General features: G+C 34.9%; 1 protein-coding gene across 9 annotated transcripts in view; it reads left to right on the top strand.

Annotated features, from left to right (window-relative positions):
• The window catches only part of CDH18 (cadherin 18), a 1,104,418-nt gene that overhangs the window by 307,747 nt on the left and 777,619 nt on the right, over positions 1–19,052 (top strand). For all 9 annotated transcript variants that reach the window (XM_005248228.5, NM_001349562.2, NM_001349556.2 and 6 more), the window contains one exon: positions 12,462–12,523. The gene's annotated coding sequence lies outside the window, so the exon portion shown is untranslated. The remainder of the gene's footprint in view (positions 1–12,461; positions 12,524–19,052) is intronic.

Raw genomic sequence — 19,052 nt, 5'->3', positions numbered from 1 at the left:
TAGAGAGTGGGAAGAGGGAAGGAGGAAAAGCCGAGAAACTACCTATTGGCTACTCTGTTCACTACCTGGGTGATGCAACCAATCATATTCAAACTTCACTGTCACACAAAATACTCATGCAACTAACCTGCACATGTACCTCGTGAATCTAAAATAATAGTTGAAATTATATAAAATTGACAGATTTGATAAATAAATTCAGTTATGTTTCAGGGTACAAAATCAAATTACAAAATTCAGTAGTGTTTCTAAACACCAATGATGATATATGAGAGGGAAATCAAGAAGGTGATCCCTTTTACGATAGCTACAAAACAAAACAAAATGCCTAGGAATAAATTTAACCAAGGCAGTAAAAGACCTCTGCAAGGAAAACTACAAAATACCTGTGAGAGAAATTGAAAATGACACAAACAAATGGAAAAATATTTTATACTCATGAATTGGAAGCAATCTATAGATTCAATACAATCCCTATCAAAATGCCAAGATCATTTTTCACAGAATTAGAAAAAAAAGTCCTAGAATTTATATGGAATAAAAAAATTAGCCCAAATAGCCAAGACAGTTCTGAGGAAAAAGAACAAAGCTGGAGGCATCACATTGCCTGACTTCAGATTATATTACAAGGCTCTAGTAACCCAAACATAATGATACTGATATAAAAATAAACACATAGAAAAATGGAACAAAACAGAGAATCCAGAAATGGAGCCACATATTTCCAGTTAAGTGACCTTTGACAAAGATGATAAGAACATACTTTGGGAAACGGACCTCGTTTTTAGGAAATGGTACTGGGAAAATTGGTTATGAAACTGAACCCCTATTTCACACTATATATAAATTCTGCACATTTTCTTTAAACTATCTGAACCATGAATACTGCCTTATTTATTGTCTGTATGACCAAAATATCCAAATCTATATCTGATCTTCAAACATTGAATTGCACATTTATACATTCAGTAGACTGGCTTTGTCTATCCAGATGTCCAAAACCTGAAATTCAGATTGCCCCAAAATGAACATATTATGCATTCCTTCCAACTCCTAAACATGTTCCACATTTTGTTCTGCAATTTTTTTAGTCATGAAGTTACCCTTTACTAAATTGTATAAGACACTCTCTGAAACATAAGTGCACACCTTCCAGAGTTAATCTTGTGTATTTTACCATTACTTATGGCTCATATATCTTCCCCTCTTCCTTTTCAATATTTAGATTTAAATTAGCAAGGCCGGGCACAGTGACTCACGCCTGTAATCCCAGCACGCTAGGAGGCCGAGTTGGGTGGATCGCTTGAGGCCTGAGTTCAAGACCAGCCTGGTCAACATGGTGAAACCCCGTCTCTACTAAAAATACAAAAAAAAAAAAAAAAAAAAAAAAAAAAATTCAGCCGGGCGTGCCGGCACGTGCCTGTAATCCCAGCTACTCAGGAGGCTGAGGCAAGAGAATCACTTGAACCCGGGAGGCAGAGATTGCAGTGAGGTGAAATCGCACCACTGTACTCCAGCCTGGGCGATGGAGTGAGACCCTGTCTCAAACAAACAAACATACTTTTTTTCTTGTGCTATGGAAATAGTGTAACTCTAATTTCTATATTTATATCTTATCTCCTCAAATTCAAATTGCTGCCAAAAGGAAATGTTTAGACTGCAAAGCTTTCAGGTTATTTTCCTGCATAAAGCATTCTCTAGTGTCAGGGTTCTTCAAAGAAATAGAACCAATAAGCTAGGTAGATAGAGATTTATTACAAGGGATTGACTCACTCAATTATGGAGGCTGAGAATTCCTACAATCTAACATTGGCAAGTTGGAGACTGAGGAAAGATGGTATTGTTCCGGTATAAACCCAGAAGCCTGAGAACCAGGGGAGATAATGGTGTAAGTCACAGCCCATGTCAAAGTCCCTAAAACCGAGAGTGCCTCTATCCAAGAGGAGGAGAAGATGGATGTCCCAGCTCAAGCAGAGGGTGCATTTGCCCTGCTTCCCTTTTTTGGTTTATTTAGATCTTCAGTAGATTTGGTGATGTCCACCCACATTTGTGAGGTCAGTCATCTTTACTAGCTACCAATTCAAAAGCTAATCTTTTTCAGAAACACATCCACTGACACACCCAGAAATAATGCTTTCCCAGTTTTCAGAGCATCTCATAGTCCAGTCAAGTTGGCACATAAAATTAATCTTCACATCTTGTCTTTTATCACCAATAACAGTGGTGTTCAAGAAAGAGTGCTCATTGCTCTAGCAATGTAAAAATCTAGCATGGTACAGGCATAAAATATTTATATTTTTTATTTTAATTTTTATGCATAAGTATATCAGAATGGTACACCCAGTTTTCCACTTATTTGAAAATAAATGTAATTTTTTTTTTATTTTGATACTCCTTCAGTCTTGGTCTAAGTCCATGTTCTTAGCTTACGATAATCTTTTACATTGCCCCTGAGCCTTATATTCCTGGGCATTCAGAAATAAACTGGAACTTTTATTTTGAATGTTTCTTTTGTCAAGCAGAAATAGTATACATCCAGATAATTACAAAACTGTACATTTATTCCAAAGGAGTTTTGCTACATATTTTTTCACAAATAACAAAACACTCTTGGCATTCATAGAGGAAAAAGGAGTTTATTAAATTTTTTTTGGACTTTTTCTCTTGACTTTTAGGAATATTTTTGTATTAATGAAACACTATTTTTCTTTATAATAACCAGGAAAAAAAAGTTTGTCTTTTCAGAGAAGTATCAACTCTAACAGAAAGTGTAGTTAAAGAAAAGGACATAAATATTAGGGAGGAAATATAAAATAAATGTAGTTTGAAAGTTGCTCATTAACTATAATCTAATATGAATAACTGATGTGTGTTTTCTCAGGCAAAATTGAGATAATGGTGACATTCGTCTGAGATTGAATTGAGTTTATTTAGATATCTTCAGGTTATCTCACTCGTCTCTCGTATCATTATCAATTTGTATCCTGAGATCATTTTTCTTTTCCTTAAATCTTTGTTCTTATTGCCAGAAAATCATTCTTGGGAAACTAGTCACCACAATAGATTTGTCAACCAGTAAAATGGAGAATTTAGACTGTGCTTGATGAATATCTTAGCTCACTTTCCTGCTGGGCATAAAAATGTACCCAGTCTGTCAAAGAAGCACTAATTTTATGTCACTCTAAAGCCACATATTTTTCAAAACCAAGATTTTGAAATGTAAAATATTGGACTTATTTTATTATGTGTGACTTTTTAAAAATAGTTGATTGTTAATAATGAACTGGATCATATAGAAAACTTTAGATACCTAACAAGATTTTTCCGCTTTGTGGGGTTTTGTTGTGGTGGTTTCTGGGTCTTTATGTATGTAGATATCTACAACAGCCATATTTCCAATTGCATTTTACGTGATCTTCTGAAGATTAAAATGGTGCTTCAGAATTAGTATGATACAGGATGGTGAAAAATTTGATATTACATGTATATATTATATATTTATGTGTACACGCTATTAAATTAAATATTTTCATATTTAATTCATATCTGACTTTGGGCTATCATTCACAACTTGTAATGATTTGCTGAAGTAATTGTGTAATAATTATGCTAATATTTACATTTTTATGCCTTGGGATAATTTTAAAGCATTTTTTGATTAAGATTCTTTGGAGAACTCAATATGCAAACTAGTAACTTGGTCAAGAACATCAGTATCTTCACTGGCAAAATTCGCTGTTTCATAGAGTATTCATGGTCTGGTTGTAGCATTTAAACTGAAGCATTATTATATCTGTAGTTAGCACTAACTAGGTAAATAACTCAGAAAAATTATCCATATGTATTAAAATAATAATGAGGTTCTTATAAAGTATAATTTGAATTGATTGCATTTGAGGCACGTTTACATTGTTATTAATTCCTTTTACAAAATAAATATTTAGATTGAAAAAGAAATACATTTTAATGACTATGTATGAGTAGAATAGATATGCAATTTATTCTACATACTGTTATGTATTTGTATTTTTATATTTAGGTAAATAAGATTTAAAATACCATAACCTTTTCCTTAGCTAGTAGTAAACAATGAAAGAGCTCACACCTTAAAAAAATCTAACTTTATTCATACATGTAGTTGAAAAGGGAGGCATTTTAAAATCCTTTTTCAGATAGTTGTGAGTTTTTAAAATAGTACACCTGAACTCAACAATTGGTAGGTTTTATAAAGTTTAATTGCCAAATGGAACCTAAAGCTACCTTATTAAACTTTTATATTTTGTTAATTAAAATCCATTGTTCAATCTTACACTGTGAGAACATTTGTTAACCATATATTATTTGTAACATTTTTTTACCCATGCATCAATCATTTTTTAAAAAGTTGTTCACAAAGATGTATGTATCTTTCAACATGGACACACATTATTTTAAAAATCACAATTGCTAATATCAATAATCTCATCAGGAAATTATTTAAGGGTTACAGTACTGTCAAATCCATGAGACAAATGCAAGCTTTCCAAAATTTTATATTTGTTTGAAATATTGAACTTCATCACTGGCAACAAATGCTAACGAGTAGTTTCTTTGAAGAGGCAGGGTCTCTTTTCACAGTCAAAAAAATATCTATCCAATACCCAACTTTAAGCAATCACATTTTTTTTTCTGACACTACGCAAATAAAAACTAGGTAAAAATGTTCCATGAGAGAACAGCTAGTGTAGCTCACAGCTCACAACTCAAAGTGCCACACATGTACTTGGCTTCATAACACAGTATTAGAGCTTCATGCGTAGTTCTGATTTCTGCACAATGAATACAAAAAACAATGCATGCTCGAGGGTACATAATTGTGTGTGTGTATTTTTTTTTATCAAGGAGAAATTGACCTCTTTTTCCCTCTCTTCATCCCTCTGTCCCCCCATCCCTGTCCCTTCTTCCCCTTCCCTCCCCTCCCTCCCCTCCCCTTCCCTCCCTTCCCTTCCCTTCCCTTCTTTCCCCCATTCTTCCTTCTTTTCTTTTTCTCTTTCTCTCTTCTTCCTCCCTTCTTTCTTTCCTGCTTGTGTTAAGTGTTGAAGAATATAATGAGTCTTAATATGGTTTAGAGCCACTTCCTTGATGTATGCAAAGGCACCAGTGTTTCTCAAATCAATTAATTACTTAACTGATCGATTTTTAATTTACAAATACGATTGTATATATTTCTAGCGTACAACATGATAACTGATATATGTAGACATTACTGAATGGCTAAATCAAAGGCATTGGTATTTTTACCCACCAGCATTTCTTTTTAGCATCACTGTCACTGTCAACACAGTGAAAACAGAAAATACATCATTTGATTATTACAAAAATAGTTTCAGCCTCGAACACCCCTGACAGTCTCTCAGGGATCCCCATGGGGCTAGGTGCCACATTTCAAATACCACTACCTTAATTTAATTTTTGATCCCACACTCTCAGTACCTTAGAATTTATGCATATGTATTATGGAAGAACAACATAAAACCTGACATAATTTAAGGAGACATTTTAATGAATAATTTTATAGAAAACATTACTATCAAGTTTAGGTTCTCATTATCAAGTCCCTTCCAACATTGTGAAAACATATTGAAGAGGACTGACCTAGTTATTGCTCCGTGAGCCCTTTAAGCCAGGGCTACTAAATTATTGTCACTTACAAACATAATTAGCACATCTCATTAGCTAATGAAGATAATGACCATTAAAATTCTCTCCCAATTTATGGTTTCCCATTTATCACAATTTAACAACAATGCTGTTTAAGTGTTATAACAAAATTGGCTTACAAATGACCCCTACACTAACAAGCAGCACCTTGTATCAAGGAACAAAGTATTATTTATTTATTGCATCCTAATTATATTATATAGTGGAGTTGTATTGCTGATGACATTCCAATGCTATTCAGTCAATACAATCTGAATTATCATTTTTAGGTTGAAAGTACAAAGCCACACCACACAGAATGTAACTATTTTTCTCTGGCAATCCTTATTTACAAAGCAGTTATTGTTAATTTCTACATTCCAAGGAGCGATGGATTATTTATTCATTGCATTCTAATTATATTACATAGTGGAGTTGTATTGCTGATGATTTTCCAATGCTATTCAGTCAGTACAATCTGAATTATCATTTTAGGTTGAAAGTACAAAACCACACCACACAGAATATAACTATTTTTCTCTATCATTTTTTTTTTTTAAACGGAGTCTCGCTCTGTCGCCCAGGCTGGAATGCAGTGGCTCCATCTCAGCTCACTGCAAACTCTGCCTCCCGGGTTCACGCCATTCTCCTCCCAAGTAGCTGGGACTACAGGCACCCGCCACCACGCCTGGCTAATTTTTTTGTATTTTTAGTAGAGATGGGGTTTCACCGTTTTAGCCAGGATGGTACTGATCTCCTGACCTCGTGATCTGCCCGCCTCAGCCTCCCAAAGTGCTGGGATTAGAGGCGTGAGCCACCACGCCCGACCTCTAGCAATTCTTATTTACAAAACACTTATTGTTAATTTCTACATTTCAAGTATTTAAATAAAGGATAAATAATTACTCATACAAATAGGCTATAAAAGCATTTCATAAATAATCTTATTTATAATTTGTAAGTGCTCTATTTTTCAAACTCCTTATTTTGTTTTTTCTAAAAATTTATTTTCCAGGTTTTTGTTAAGTACAATTTAAGAATATATGGCATAATATTTTTTAAAGTTTTCACAATTGCTAACATTCTCAAAATGATAATATGGAATGAAAGACTCTTTGGGGACTACTGAAACAATGCATTTATATTTAACTAAGCAAAATGTTAAATTAGGAATTTATGGATTCCTAATGTTATTATGAAGGTTGATGAATTATTGGTCTATTGCCACATGACAAATTATCACAAATGTACTGGGTTAAAACAGCATCCAATTATTTCATAGTTTTTGTAAATCAGGCCTGTAGGCCTGAGTTACCTGGCTATCACAAGGCTAAACCATGTATTGGTCAGGACTATGATCCCACCTGAGGCTCAAGGTCTTCTCCAAGCTTATTTAATTCATTGGAAGAATTTGGTTCCTTGCAGTTGTAGAACTAGTTTTCCCATCTTCTGCTGGCTATTAGCCAGATGTCAGTTTCAGCTTCCAGAAGTAGCCCTTAGGACCTAACCAAAATAGTATCTTACTTCTGCCAAGTCAGCAGGAGAATCAGCCTGCTATGGTGGAGTCTTATAATGTAACATAACATAATGTACCATCATACTAACAGGCTGACTATCCCATCATATTCTTAGATCCTACCCACACTCAAGGTAAAATGATTACACAGTACCTGTACAATAGGAGGTGGGAATCTACCACTCTCTAATACAGAACTGTTTAAGTCTTTCTGAAATGCAAAATATGTCCACCCCCTTTCAGGGTTCCTCAGATTCTCATCCCATTACACCATCAGCTCAAAATCCAGAATCTCATCAAAATATCATCAAGTCAGTATAACTTATAAATCAAATCCAAGCATATATAAGAGGCCTCAGTGTAATTCCGTAAGTAGAGCCCCTGGAGCACAATTCTCTACTGTGAAGTTGCACAACTTAAGAGACAAGTTATTGCCCCCCAACTCTCCCAATTTATAATGGTGGGACAAGGATAGGACAACATTTATCAACATTGTTTCAAAAATAGGAAAATGGAAGATGAGCAGCAATAACTAGTCCCTAACACCCAATCAAGAAAATCCAGCATTTCAGAAGTGTTGGGGACAGCAATAACTAGTACCTTACACTTCTGAAATGTTGGATTTTCTTGATTGGATTTTACGGCTTATCTAAAGGCTATGGCTCTTGGTTGAGAAAATCTGTAAGGCATACCTTTAATTTATGGAAAGGAACTTAGTGTGAATTAAGTCTTCTTGACGTTTTGAACTTTCTAAGATTTTAACTAAAGGTTGTGCAGTCGCACCTCAATTTTTTTTTTGTTTGTAAGACATACTTTCAGCAGCCATTTTTGGTAGGCATCTCTTGCCACTTGGAAAGGCCAATTATTTTAAAAATCATCTACTTCTATTCATGTCTACCCTTTCCTCAACCTATCTCTCTTCTCTCACATTTTACTATAAACTACAAGAAGAATCCAGGCAGCATCTGTGGCATTTAGCTATACAGTTGACTCTTGAACAACACAGGGGCTAGGGGGACTAATCCTCTGTGCAGCTGAACATCCACAAATGGCTTTTGACTTCTCAAAACTTAACTGCTAATGGGTTACTGTTGACCAGCAGCCTTACAGATAACATATACAGTCAGTTAACACATATTTTGTATGTTCTATGTATTAAATACTGTATTCTAAAGTAATCTAGAGAAAAATGTAAATAAGAAAGTCATAAGAAAGAGAAAATAAATCTACTATTCATGAAGTGGAAGTAGATCGTCATAAAGGCCTTCATCCTTATTTTCTTCACATTAAGTAGTCTGAGTAGGAGGAGGAAAAGGAAGAGTTGGTCTTGGGGCCTCAGGGGTGGCGGAGGTGGGAGAAAGTCCACATAAAAATGGAACCATGTAGTTCAAACCTATGTTGTTCAAAGATCAGCTATATATCCAATTTCATCATTTAAAAGCTCTGATTGGTGCATAACGACAGTACATGGTTTTGCTAATATTCTTTTACTGCATAGCACAGTGCCATCTCTCTTCTAGTTTTCAGTAACATTCCTCACTTTCCTCTGAGCCCTCCCTCAGAGGGCTGAGGGCCTGAGCATCTTCAAAATCCAGTTTTCTAACAATTGGTTGAGGGGGATTTAGACTTTCACTCTTGTGCTTCTTCAAATCCTTCCAGCTTCTACTGACTTTCTGGTTTCAAAGCCAGTCACACTATTTTTAGGCGTTTGTTGCAGCAGCACACCATTTTCAAGTCCCAAACACTGTATTTGTTTTCTGTTGTGGGTGATAAAGTATCTCAAGGTTTCCTTGGGTCAGGAGTTTGGACACGGCTTACCTAGGTTCTCTGCTCAGGGGCTTCACTAGCAAAAATCAAGGTTTTAACTAGGGTTTGACCTCATATGAATCTCAGGGTCAATACACCTGGAGTTCACTTTTTGATTACTCATACCAGCTTTCTCTGAGTTCTTTGGATGCAAAACCAAGCAATTGCCACCTCTTCACCATTCCTGTAGTATTAGGGTATGTTAGGACTCTCGGTTTCTGATTTAATGATACTGAACATGTAAGTATGAAAGTAATGATAATCAAAACCATCCATGTTGTAAGAATTGGGCATTGAATTGAAAAATAATTAAAATTAAATACAAATAAATAAAAATTAGAAGTCATTATAACCACATATGTGATAGTTAATTTGTTCATGAATTAATAGGTGGCTTGTTGCTGATCCAATATCATGTTAGAAATACTTATTTAAGGTTAAACAGCATTAAAATATCCAAATTTATGTGCAGTTTAACATTACAAACACAACTTTTCACATGGAGGATTGCCCTTTCTGCTGTTTAAATTCAGTTATTGGAATGCTGAATAAAACCAAGTATAGTAAAGATGGTTAGCAAATTACATGAGTAAATATTGGATGAAGAAATAGTTACTGGATATGAGTTTTCCTTGGAGGAGGACATGACTTCAGGAGAAAAGCTTACTTCAACAGACATTTTCTACATATTTTTTTTCTTATTGACACTCTTACAGAGAGCTTCTGATTTTTAAAAATAAAAACTTGAATTCTTATTTTTATTTGGCCTGGTTCTATAAAAATGCAATTAGAAACTTACAACAAAAGATTCTAATATTATGTTATTATGCTGCCACATAATATTAGGTTTTGCTGTTGTTATTTATGGACAACCTGTAGGGACTTTAGTTATTGTGATTATATTATAAACCTATAAATTGGAGAATGAATTGAAATGAAGAGCTCTGCAAAATAACAGAAAATTTTGAAGTACTGACCTATATAATAAATGAGAATACATTTTGTACAACTACGTGTATATTTTAACACATTCCTTCTCCAGTTAAGAGTGTACTTTATTATCATTTCAAGAGCTCAGACATGAAAATGAATACTGCTGAAATTTTCTGTAAAATAATTGTTGCATTTTAAAACATTAGGCACACACAGATTGATAAAGGAGACAAGATAGTGTGATTTCGAGTGAAGTGAAATATGTTTCTTAGTAGAAGTAAATATTATAAATTCTTTTTCAAAAGTATTTGAATGGATTGTTTCATCGCATTTAAATAAATGTGTACAATGCAGGAAATTGAATTGTTTATTGGTGACATTTCCTAATTGACAGAATTTTTATCAATATGCTAAGAACTATTACAACTTAATTTTCTTTTGTCAGATATTAAGCAGTTATATATGGAGACTGTATCACACTTAGAGTCAGAGCTGTGCATTGGGCTCTATGAACTGCACAGGGTGCTGCTTATCCTGTGATAGCAATAGAGCAATAGAGCCAAGATAAAATGATCAGCCATATGCTTTTTGCCTTATTTCCAAAGAGCCTATATTAACCTTAGCAGAAAATGTGAGCTATGTATAAATAGGTCCCCACATGCTTACACATGATTTTCCATAGAGTAGAATATTCTAATAACTCAATTTTTAAAATTATTTATTGGAAATCTTTGCTGCTTCTCACCCCAAATCATGTAAGCATGGGTTGCAGTATACATATTCTGCATTAGTTATGATTAACACCAGTTCCTAATGACAGCCCACCTGAACACTGTATCATCACTAGTTCCTGGAATTAAACTTGGAAATCAGTTACATCAGATATTATTTACCTCTTAGTTTTAAGAAGGTCATTTTGGAAAAGGTCCATGGAGGTGTTCTAGTAACCCTGAAGCTTATGAGTACTATGTGTTCTAATAGAATCTGAAAGTTTTGCCCTGATAAGTAGATAGAGGATGATGATGATAGATAGATAGATAGATAGATATAGATATAGATATAGATAGATTAGATAGATAGATAGATAGATAGATAGATACCACCAAGCTACTACAAATCTCGTTTTTCTCTTAGTACTTCCAGAACATCACAGCCCATTTCCTACTTTCCTCATCCTAGTGATTGCTATTTCTCATTTCCCTGACTTTAAAGGACTCAGTCCTTAAATTTCATTCCTAGCTAACCCCTTCCAGACACTTCAGACTCTCTTCAACTCCAGATTTTTTTCTCTTAGATACCAGTCATCTATCTGGTATCAGACATTTCTACTTTGATGAACATTGACACATCTTCTTCTGTCTTTATAGCATTTAGGATAACCTGATATACAATATGTATTTGCCTATTTGGATGTATACTTTTCTCTCGTCCACCCCTCCCAGCATTCCCAAAATAAAAGTACCATGAGGGCAGTGTCTTTTGTCTCTTTTGTTATGTGTTTTATTCCTAGTATAAATAATAATGTTTGGCACATAGTAGATACTCAATAAATAATTGCTGAATGACTGACATACTCCTAAAGTATTTGAGGCATCTGTTTGACCTCTGTAAGTGTAATTTTTATCAGTTTTAGGAAATAGAAATCGTATATCAAATCACATTGTCAACTAAGGACATAGTAAGCTGATTTGGGCTAAGAAGGTCAGAGAATAAGCATAATTCTTATGCTCCTGCTTTTGGGTTCTGAAAGGGATTATTATCTTCTGAGAACACATTTTTACCTCTTAGTTTTCTTCTTTTAATATTGACTTTCCAATGTTAACACTTCGATCCAATGAGCATTATGTTGTGTATACATACAACATATATATTATTTGGTATAATGCACGTAATGTATACATTAGGGATTATATTCAAATTTTAATTTATTGAAATATCTAATAGTCACAATTCTAGAACAATATATATTTTTTATTGATTTATAATACTCCCTTGTTAATCATATTATACTTTAGGTTATACTGAACCTTGTTTCTTGGATTTCTATTCTGATCTTTCATATTCTCTTTGTTTGAAAGTGCAGTAGTTATTAAAATCATAAAACATTAAAGTTATTAAAATAACATAAACATTTAATATTATATAAAATCACTAAAATAGTTTATATTTAAATTTTGACCATGTTTAAGGCATAATACTAAGTGTTTAAATAAATTGTAACACTGAAATTAAAACTTCTTTATGTCGTGACATACCAAGGTCAAAGAACAAGACTAAATTGCCCATATCTACATGGCTAACACGTGACGGAGCTAAAATTCTAACTGGACATAGTTTCAAAATGTCATGCCCTAAAAAGGAAAAAAAAAACTCGCAGTTCAAACTTCTCAAAAATTTATCTCTTCAAAAATGTATTTGCTCTCCAAACTCAGCTTTGTTTAATGTATGACATAATAAATATGTTTTAATTATGCATAGATTTTTATGTGTTGAATATGTTTTATATTTTTGTTTTATTTTTATGCAGGACTCAACCACAGCAATATGTAAGAAGAACACACACCAAACATTCCTGAAGTGATTTAAAAGGTAAAACTTATACTTTCTCTTATAAATTATTAATTTATAAATTTCTGCTAAAACATTTCTGTAATAAATTTCTGTTAAAATATTATAGAAATGTCAAAATTGTTGTCATAATTTCTCTTAAGGATCATCTAGAATTACACTGAATTATTTAGAAATTTAGCATCTTCTGTGTTTTAAAATCACTCTTTAAGAAACTCAACTTTTGTTTATATATGGGGGTACATGTGCAAGTTTGTTATATGGGTATATTGTACCCAGGTAGTGATATTGTACCCAGTGGTTTTTCAACCCATCCTCCCTCTCCTTCCCTCCCTCTTCCAGTGGTCTTCCATGTCTTTTGTTCCCTTATTTATGTCCATGTGTGCTCAATTTTAGCTCTCATTTATAAGCGAGAACATGTGGTATTTGTTTTTTGTTGTTGTTGTTGTTCCTGATTTAATTTGCTTAAGATTATGACCTTCAGTTCCATTCGCATTGCTGCAGAAGACGTGATTTTATTCCTTTTTTATGGCTGCATAGTATTCCATGGTGTATATGTACCACATTTTTTTTTTATCCGATCTTTCATTAATGGGCACCTAGGCTGATTCCATGTCTTTGCCATTGTGCCTAGTGTTGCAATGAACATACAAGTGCATGTGTCTTTTGGTATAAAGATCTATTTTCCTTTGGGTATATACACAGTAGTGCAATTGCTGGATTGAATGGTAGCTGTTTTAAGTTCGTTGAGAACTCTCCAAACTTCTTGCCACTGTGGCTGAACATAATTTACATTCTAACCAACACGAATAAGAGTTCTCTTTTCTTTACAGCCTTTCCAGGATCTGTCGCGAGTGTGGTAGCCAGTGTCATTCTTTTAGTTCCATGCTTAGTACTCCCTTAAGGACCTCTTGTAAGGCTGTTCTAGTTGAAATAAATTCCCTTAGCAATTGCTTATCTAACAAAGGTTTTATTTCTTCTGCACCTATGAAGTTAGTTTGGTGGGAAATAAAATTCTTGGTTGTATTTTCTTTTCTTTAAGAATGCTGGAAATAGGCTGGGTGCAGTGGCTCATGCCTGTAATCCCAACTTTAGGAGGATGAGGCAGGCTGATCACCTGAGGTCAGGAGTTCAAGACCAGCCTGGCCAATGTGTGAAAACCTGTCTCTACTCAAAATACAAAAATTAGCTAGGTGTGGTGGCACGTGCCTGTAATCCCAGCTGCTCAGGAGGCTGAGGCAGAAGAATCACTTGAACCTGAGAAGCAGAGGTTGCAGTGAGCCAAGATCGCACCACTGCACTCTAGCCTGGGCGACAGAGCTAAACTCCATCTCAGAAAAACAAAAAACAAAAAACTAATGCTAAAAATAGGTGTCAGTCTCTTCTGGCTTGTAAAGTTTTTGGTGAAATGTCTACTACTAGCCTCATGGGTTTCTGTACATGACTTTGTACATGATTTGACCCTTCTCTCTAGCTTCCTTTAAGAACTTTTTCTTTTGTGATGAACTTGGTGAATCTGATGACTATGTGCCCTGGGAATTTTCATCCTGTGTAGTATCTAGCTGAGCTTCTCTGTATTTGTTGGATTTACATGTCAACCTCTAGGGAAATTAGAGAGATTTTTGTGGACTATATCTTCAAATATATATTCAAGCTGCTTATTCTCTCCCCTTCACTCTCAGGAATGCCAATGGGTCATAGATTTGTTCTCTTTGTATAATCCCATATTGCTTGGAGATTTTGTTTAACTTTTTACATCCTTTAAAAATTGTTGTCTGACTGAGTTAATTCCAAAAACCAGTCTTCAAGCTCTGAGAGTCTTTCCTTGGTTTGGTCAATTCTACTGTTAATTCTTCTGATTATGTTATTAAATTCTTGCAGTGAAAAGTTCAGTATGGTTCTTTTCAAAAAAATGGTTATTACATCATTCAGCTCTTGGATCATTTTACTGGATTCTTTGGATCCCTTGGATGGGGTTTGAATGTTTTCCTGAATCTCGATGAGTTTCCTTAGCATCCAGATTTTGAATTTGGTGTCTATCATTTTAATTATGTCAAACTAGTTAAGTTCCATTGCTGGGGATCTAGTGGACATGTTTAGAGATAAGCAGACACTCTCACTTCAATTTCCAGAATTATTCTGCTGATTCTTCCTCATCTGGAAGAATTGGTGTTTCTTTACCTGTGGTGTATGTTGAGTATAGTTAGTTGGCTATGTTTCTGGATACTTTCAGAGGGCTAGTGCTCTGTACAAGATCTTTATGTGCCAGTGAATTCTTGTGCGTAGTTTCACAGGTGTGCATATTAGCAAGATAATTTTTGGTGTTGTAGTTTGGGATACGACCTAGTAGATGATACTTTAGTGTAATGGCTGGTAGCTAGGCTACGACCCCGCTGCATGAGATGGTTGCATGTAATCAGCCATCTTATCCTCCCAGCCCTAAAATTATTCTTTTAAGGAATATTATTTAACCTATTGTTTTCTCAAATGAATTAAACATTTTCTTATTGGTGCACTTTTTTTTTTTTTGAGGTGGAGTCTCGCTCTGTTGCCCAGGCTGGAGTGCAGTGGCACAATCTCGGCTCACTACAAGCTCCGCCTCCCGGTTCAGGCAGTTCTCCTGCCTCAGTCTCCCAAGTAGTTGGGACTACAGGCGCCCACCACCACGCCCGGCTAATGTTTTGTAATTTTAGTAGAGACGGGGTTTCACCATGTTAGCCAGGGTGGTCTCCATCTCCTGGCCTCGTGATCCGCCCGCCTCTGCCTCTTAAAGTGTTGGGATTACAGGTTTGAGCCACTGTACCTGGCTTGGTACAGTTTTTAAATGTCATAAGACATAGGACCAGCAAAGTTGCATTGACATTATGCCAACTTTTAGAGGTGTTACTAGAATTTTGTTGTAGTTCAAATGTAGAGATATAACTGTTCCTATTATAATCATTTACCTGTGTAAATCTGTTTTACTGATAATGTTTACTAACACAAAAGCCCTTATCATTGAATACCAACTAATTATAATAGGTGTCAATATTGAAAAATATAAATTGATAGTTGATAAAATATACCTTTCACTATTTTGATGAGTGATTTTTTTTTTGTTTTTTGTTTTTTGTTTGAGACAGAGTCTTGCTCTGTCGCCAGGCTGGAGTGCAGTGGCGTGATCTAGGCTCACTGCAACCTCCATCTCCTGGGTTCAAGCAATTCTCCTGCGTCAGTCTCATGAGTAGCTGGGACTAAAGGCGCGCGCCACCATGCTCAGCTATTTTTTGTATTTTTAGTAGAAAGGGGGTTTTACATGTTGGCCAGGATGATCTCGATCTCTTGACCTCGTGATCCACCCGCTTCAGCCTCCCAAAGTGATTAATATTTTTTATATACAGTTGCCTTGCATAATAAAAAACAGCTGCATAAGTATTTGAATTTTTATCCAAAAATGAAATATAAGAAAGCAAGTATTAAATCAAATATATTGTTTGAACTTACTTTGTGTAAAGTACACTTCATCACGCATATTCTATATAGTTTCCTAACTTTTTAGATTAGTATGTATATGTGGTATGGAATTCTCATTATTTGTATAAATGAAAAAAATTACAAGTGCTGGTATTGCAAAACATTAGATATTCTCAAATCAGATCTATTTTTTCATGTAATGTGCTCATTATTATTTTTGAACATTAATTTGAAATACGGATCTTTCCTTTTGGTAATATATGAAATGCAATGCAGCAACAGCAAAATATAAACCAAATTACAATCCATTCAATCAAAAGATACAAGGCCATCCACTTTTTAACTGTAGCTCCCTCCTGCCTCATCCCCCACCACTGCATGTTTCTTCAATGCTCCTCAAAATACTCCAACCTTGATTACATTACAAACTCTTAGCAAGGTTGAATGTTTCTATTACATAGGCTCAGAACATATCCCTATTGCAAATACAATTTTTTTGTCTGAAAATACTTTTTGGATGCAGGAAAACATGTTGTAACAATAAACAAGATATAAAAAGCATATTATGAAAGATTTTGTAGCATACATGGCTTAATTATCTAATCAATCAATCATGTTATTACAGATAAGCATAATTTTATCTATCGGTGTGAGCATTATTCTTCATTATGGCAAAAATACAGTGGGTGGGTGTGTTTTGTGAAAAAAATTGCATCAACCTTCCTGTCCCAGAATGCAAATGAAAAATTCATAACTTTAAAAATTAAAAAATTATGATTTATTATTAAATTATTTATTATGTTTAAATTTTACAGCACCATCCCTAAGTCTGTAGGTAATTGTACACAGAATTATATTTATACCAAACATTTTTTTCTGCATGTTAGAGCTAAGTTTCTTAGCACAATTTCAGAAGGGGTTATAGCAGAGCTTGTAGAACATCACAAATTTTATCTTACAAGTTAAAGCTCAGTTACCGCTCAGTTTTTATGTTAGTTCAAGTTTCCATGGCTTTAAGTCAAATTAACAGAGTTACATGCAATGTAAAGGGGAAGAATTTGATGACACTGTTCACTTACTGAATTTTTATCTAAATGCATTTGTCTGGCTGGGCGCCATTGCTCACACCTGTAATCCCAGCACTTTGGGAGGCCAAGGCGGGCGGATCACTTGAGGCCAGGAGGTGGAGGCCAGCCTGGTCAACATGGTAAAACCCTGTCTCTACTAAAAATACAAAAATTATCTGGGTGTGGTGGCATGCGCCTGTAATCCCAGCTACTCAGGAGGTTGAGGTAAAATAGCGTTCTTGAACCCAGGAGGCAGAGGTTTCAGTGAGCCGCAAGATGGCACCACTGCACTCCAGCCTGGGCGACAGAACAAGATTAAATCTCGAAAAAAAAAAAAAAAAAAAAAAAAAAAAAAGCCATGGGCCGTGGCTCACGCCTGTAATCCCAGCACTTTAGGAGGCTGAGGTGGGCGGATCACGAGGTCAACAGATCGAAACCATCCTGGCCAACAAGGTGAAACCCCATTTCTACTAAAAATACAAAAATTAACTGGGCGTGGTGGCGGGCGCCTGCAGTCCCAGCTACTCAGGAGGCTGAGGCAGGAGAATCGATTGAATCCGGGAGGCGGAGGTTGCCGTGAGCCTTGATCGCACGGCTGCACTCCAGCCTGGCGACAGAGCAAGACTTCGTCTGAAAAAAATAAATAAATAAAATAAAAAAAAAAATAAAATTGTCAGACTCCAACATTACTGAAACATTTTTAAAGGAAATAGAACAAAAACAAAACAAAACAAAATGTGGAAGAAAAGATTTTACACAAATTGTCTTTGTAAATTAAGCCCTAACCATGTCTTTATGTTGACTTTACATTAAATCTCACGTAATCTTTGGCTCTTTTAAGTTATTCTTGAAGTGGCATTGTAAAATATAACATTCTGAGAGCTTAAATATCAAGAGCGTTCAATCAGTGAAGACAGACTTGATGTTAATATCCCTGAAAAAGGAAATTTTTTTCTACTATTTTGGTTAGTCATGTTTGTAATTTTCATCTCAATTTACAACCTTAAAAAAAAAATCACCAATGTGGGAGCCAGCAGTTTCCTAGTTAAGGATGTGGGCTTTCGTTTCTGAAGAATGTTCACACTCTTCTTCTCATTTATAACCGATAACAGTAAATATTTCATCAAAATTTTCTCCAGACAAAAAATTCTCAGAAAGGCACATTTTCACTTTAAATTAATGATTGATTTGTCTTTACAATAGAATTCAAAAGATGCTTGTTAATTTTTTTAGCGAAGTAGAGCCATAAACTGCATTATAAGTTTTAAAGGAATAGGCCGGGCGCGGTGGCTAACGCCTGTAATCTCAGCACTTTGGGAGGCCGAGGCGGGCGGATCAGGAGATCACGAAATCGAGACCACGGTGAAACCCTGTCTCTACTAAAAATACAAAAAATTAGGTGGGCGCAGTGGCGGGCATGTGTAGTCCCAGCTACTCGGGAGTCTGAGGCAGGAGAATGGCGTGAACCCGGAAGGCGGAGCTTGCAGTGAGCCAATATCGCGCCACTGAACTGCAGCCTGGGCGACAGAGCCAGACTCCGTCTCAAAAAAAAAAAAAAAAAAGTTTTAAAGGAGTTAATAGTTATTTCATAATTTAAAAGACTTTCCCAAGTTTAGTAGGCAATTAAATAAAAAAATTTATTTATTTAAAAGAAATGAATGTCAGTACATAATTTATACAGGTTTATACTAAAAACTTACACTATTTTGATGAAGTTTTAAAAATAATTTAAAAAAATCACATAATGAATTTTGCTTGATCACATTATTTAATATTTGCTCTTCCCTTTTGTCTTCAGAAAAATGCTGAATACTAACATATCTATTTTTGTACAGTTGATATTAGAAACAAAGATAAATACTTCGCTGTACTTTTCCAATAATACTTTGTTTTTCTTTGTGTTTATTTCTATATGACTTTCTTAATCCAATAGGTATTCCCTATGTTACTACATGAAAAAATTAAGCCTATTGTATAACCTCACACTGCAATATGTAATAGGCTGTAATTCTGTAGTCATTAATATTTAT

Source organism: Homo sapiens, chromosome 5 (assembly GCF_000001405.40).
Source record: "Homo sapiens chromosome 5, GRCh38.p14 Primary Assembly".
NCBI classification, from domain to species: domain Eukaryota; kingdom Metazoa; phylum Chordata; class Mammalia; order Primates; family Hominidae; genus Homo; species Homo sapiens.
This window is presented reverse-complemented; position numbering and strand designations above follow the sequence as displayed.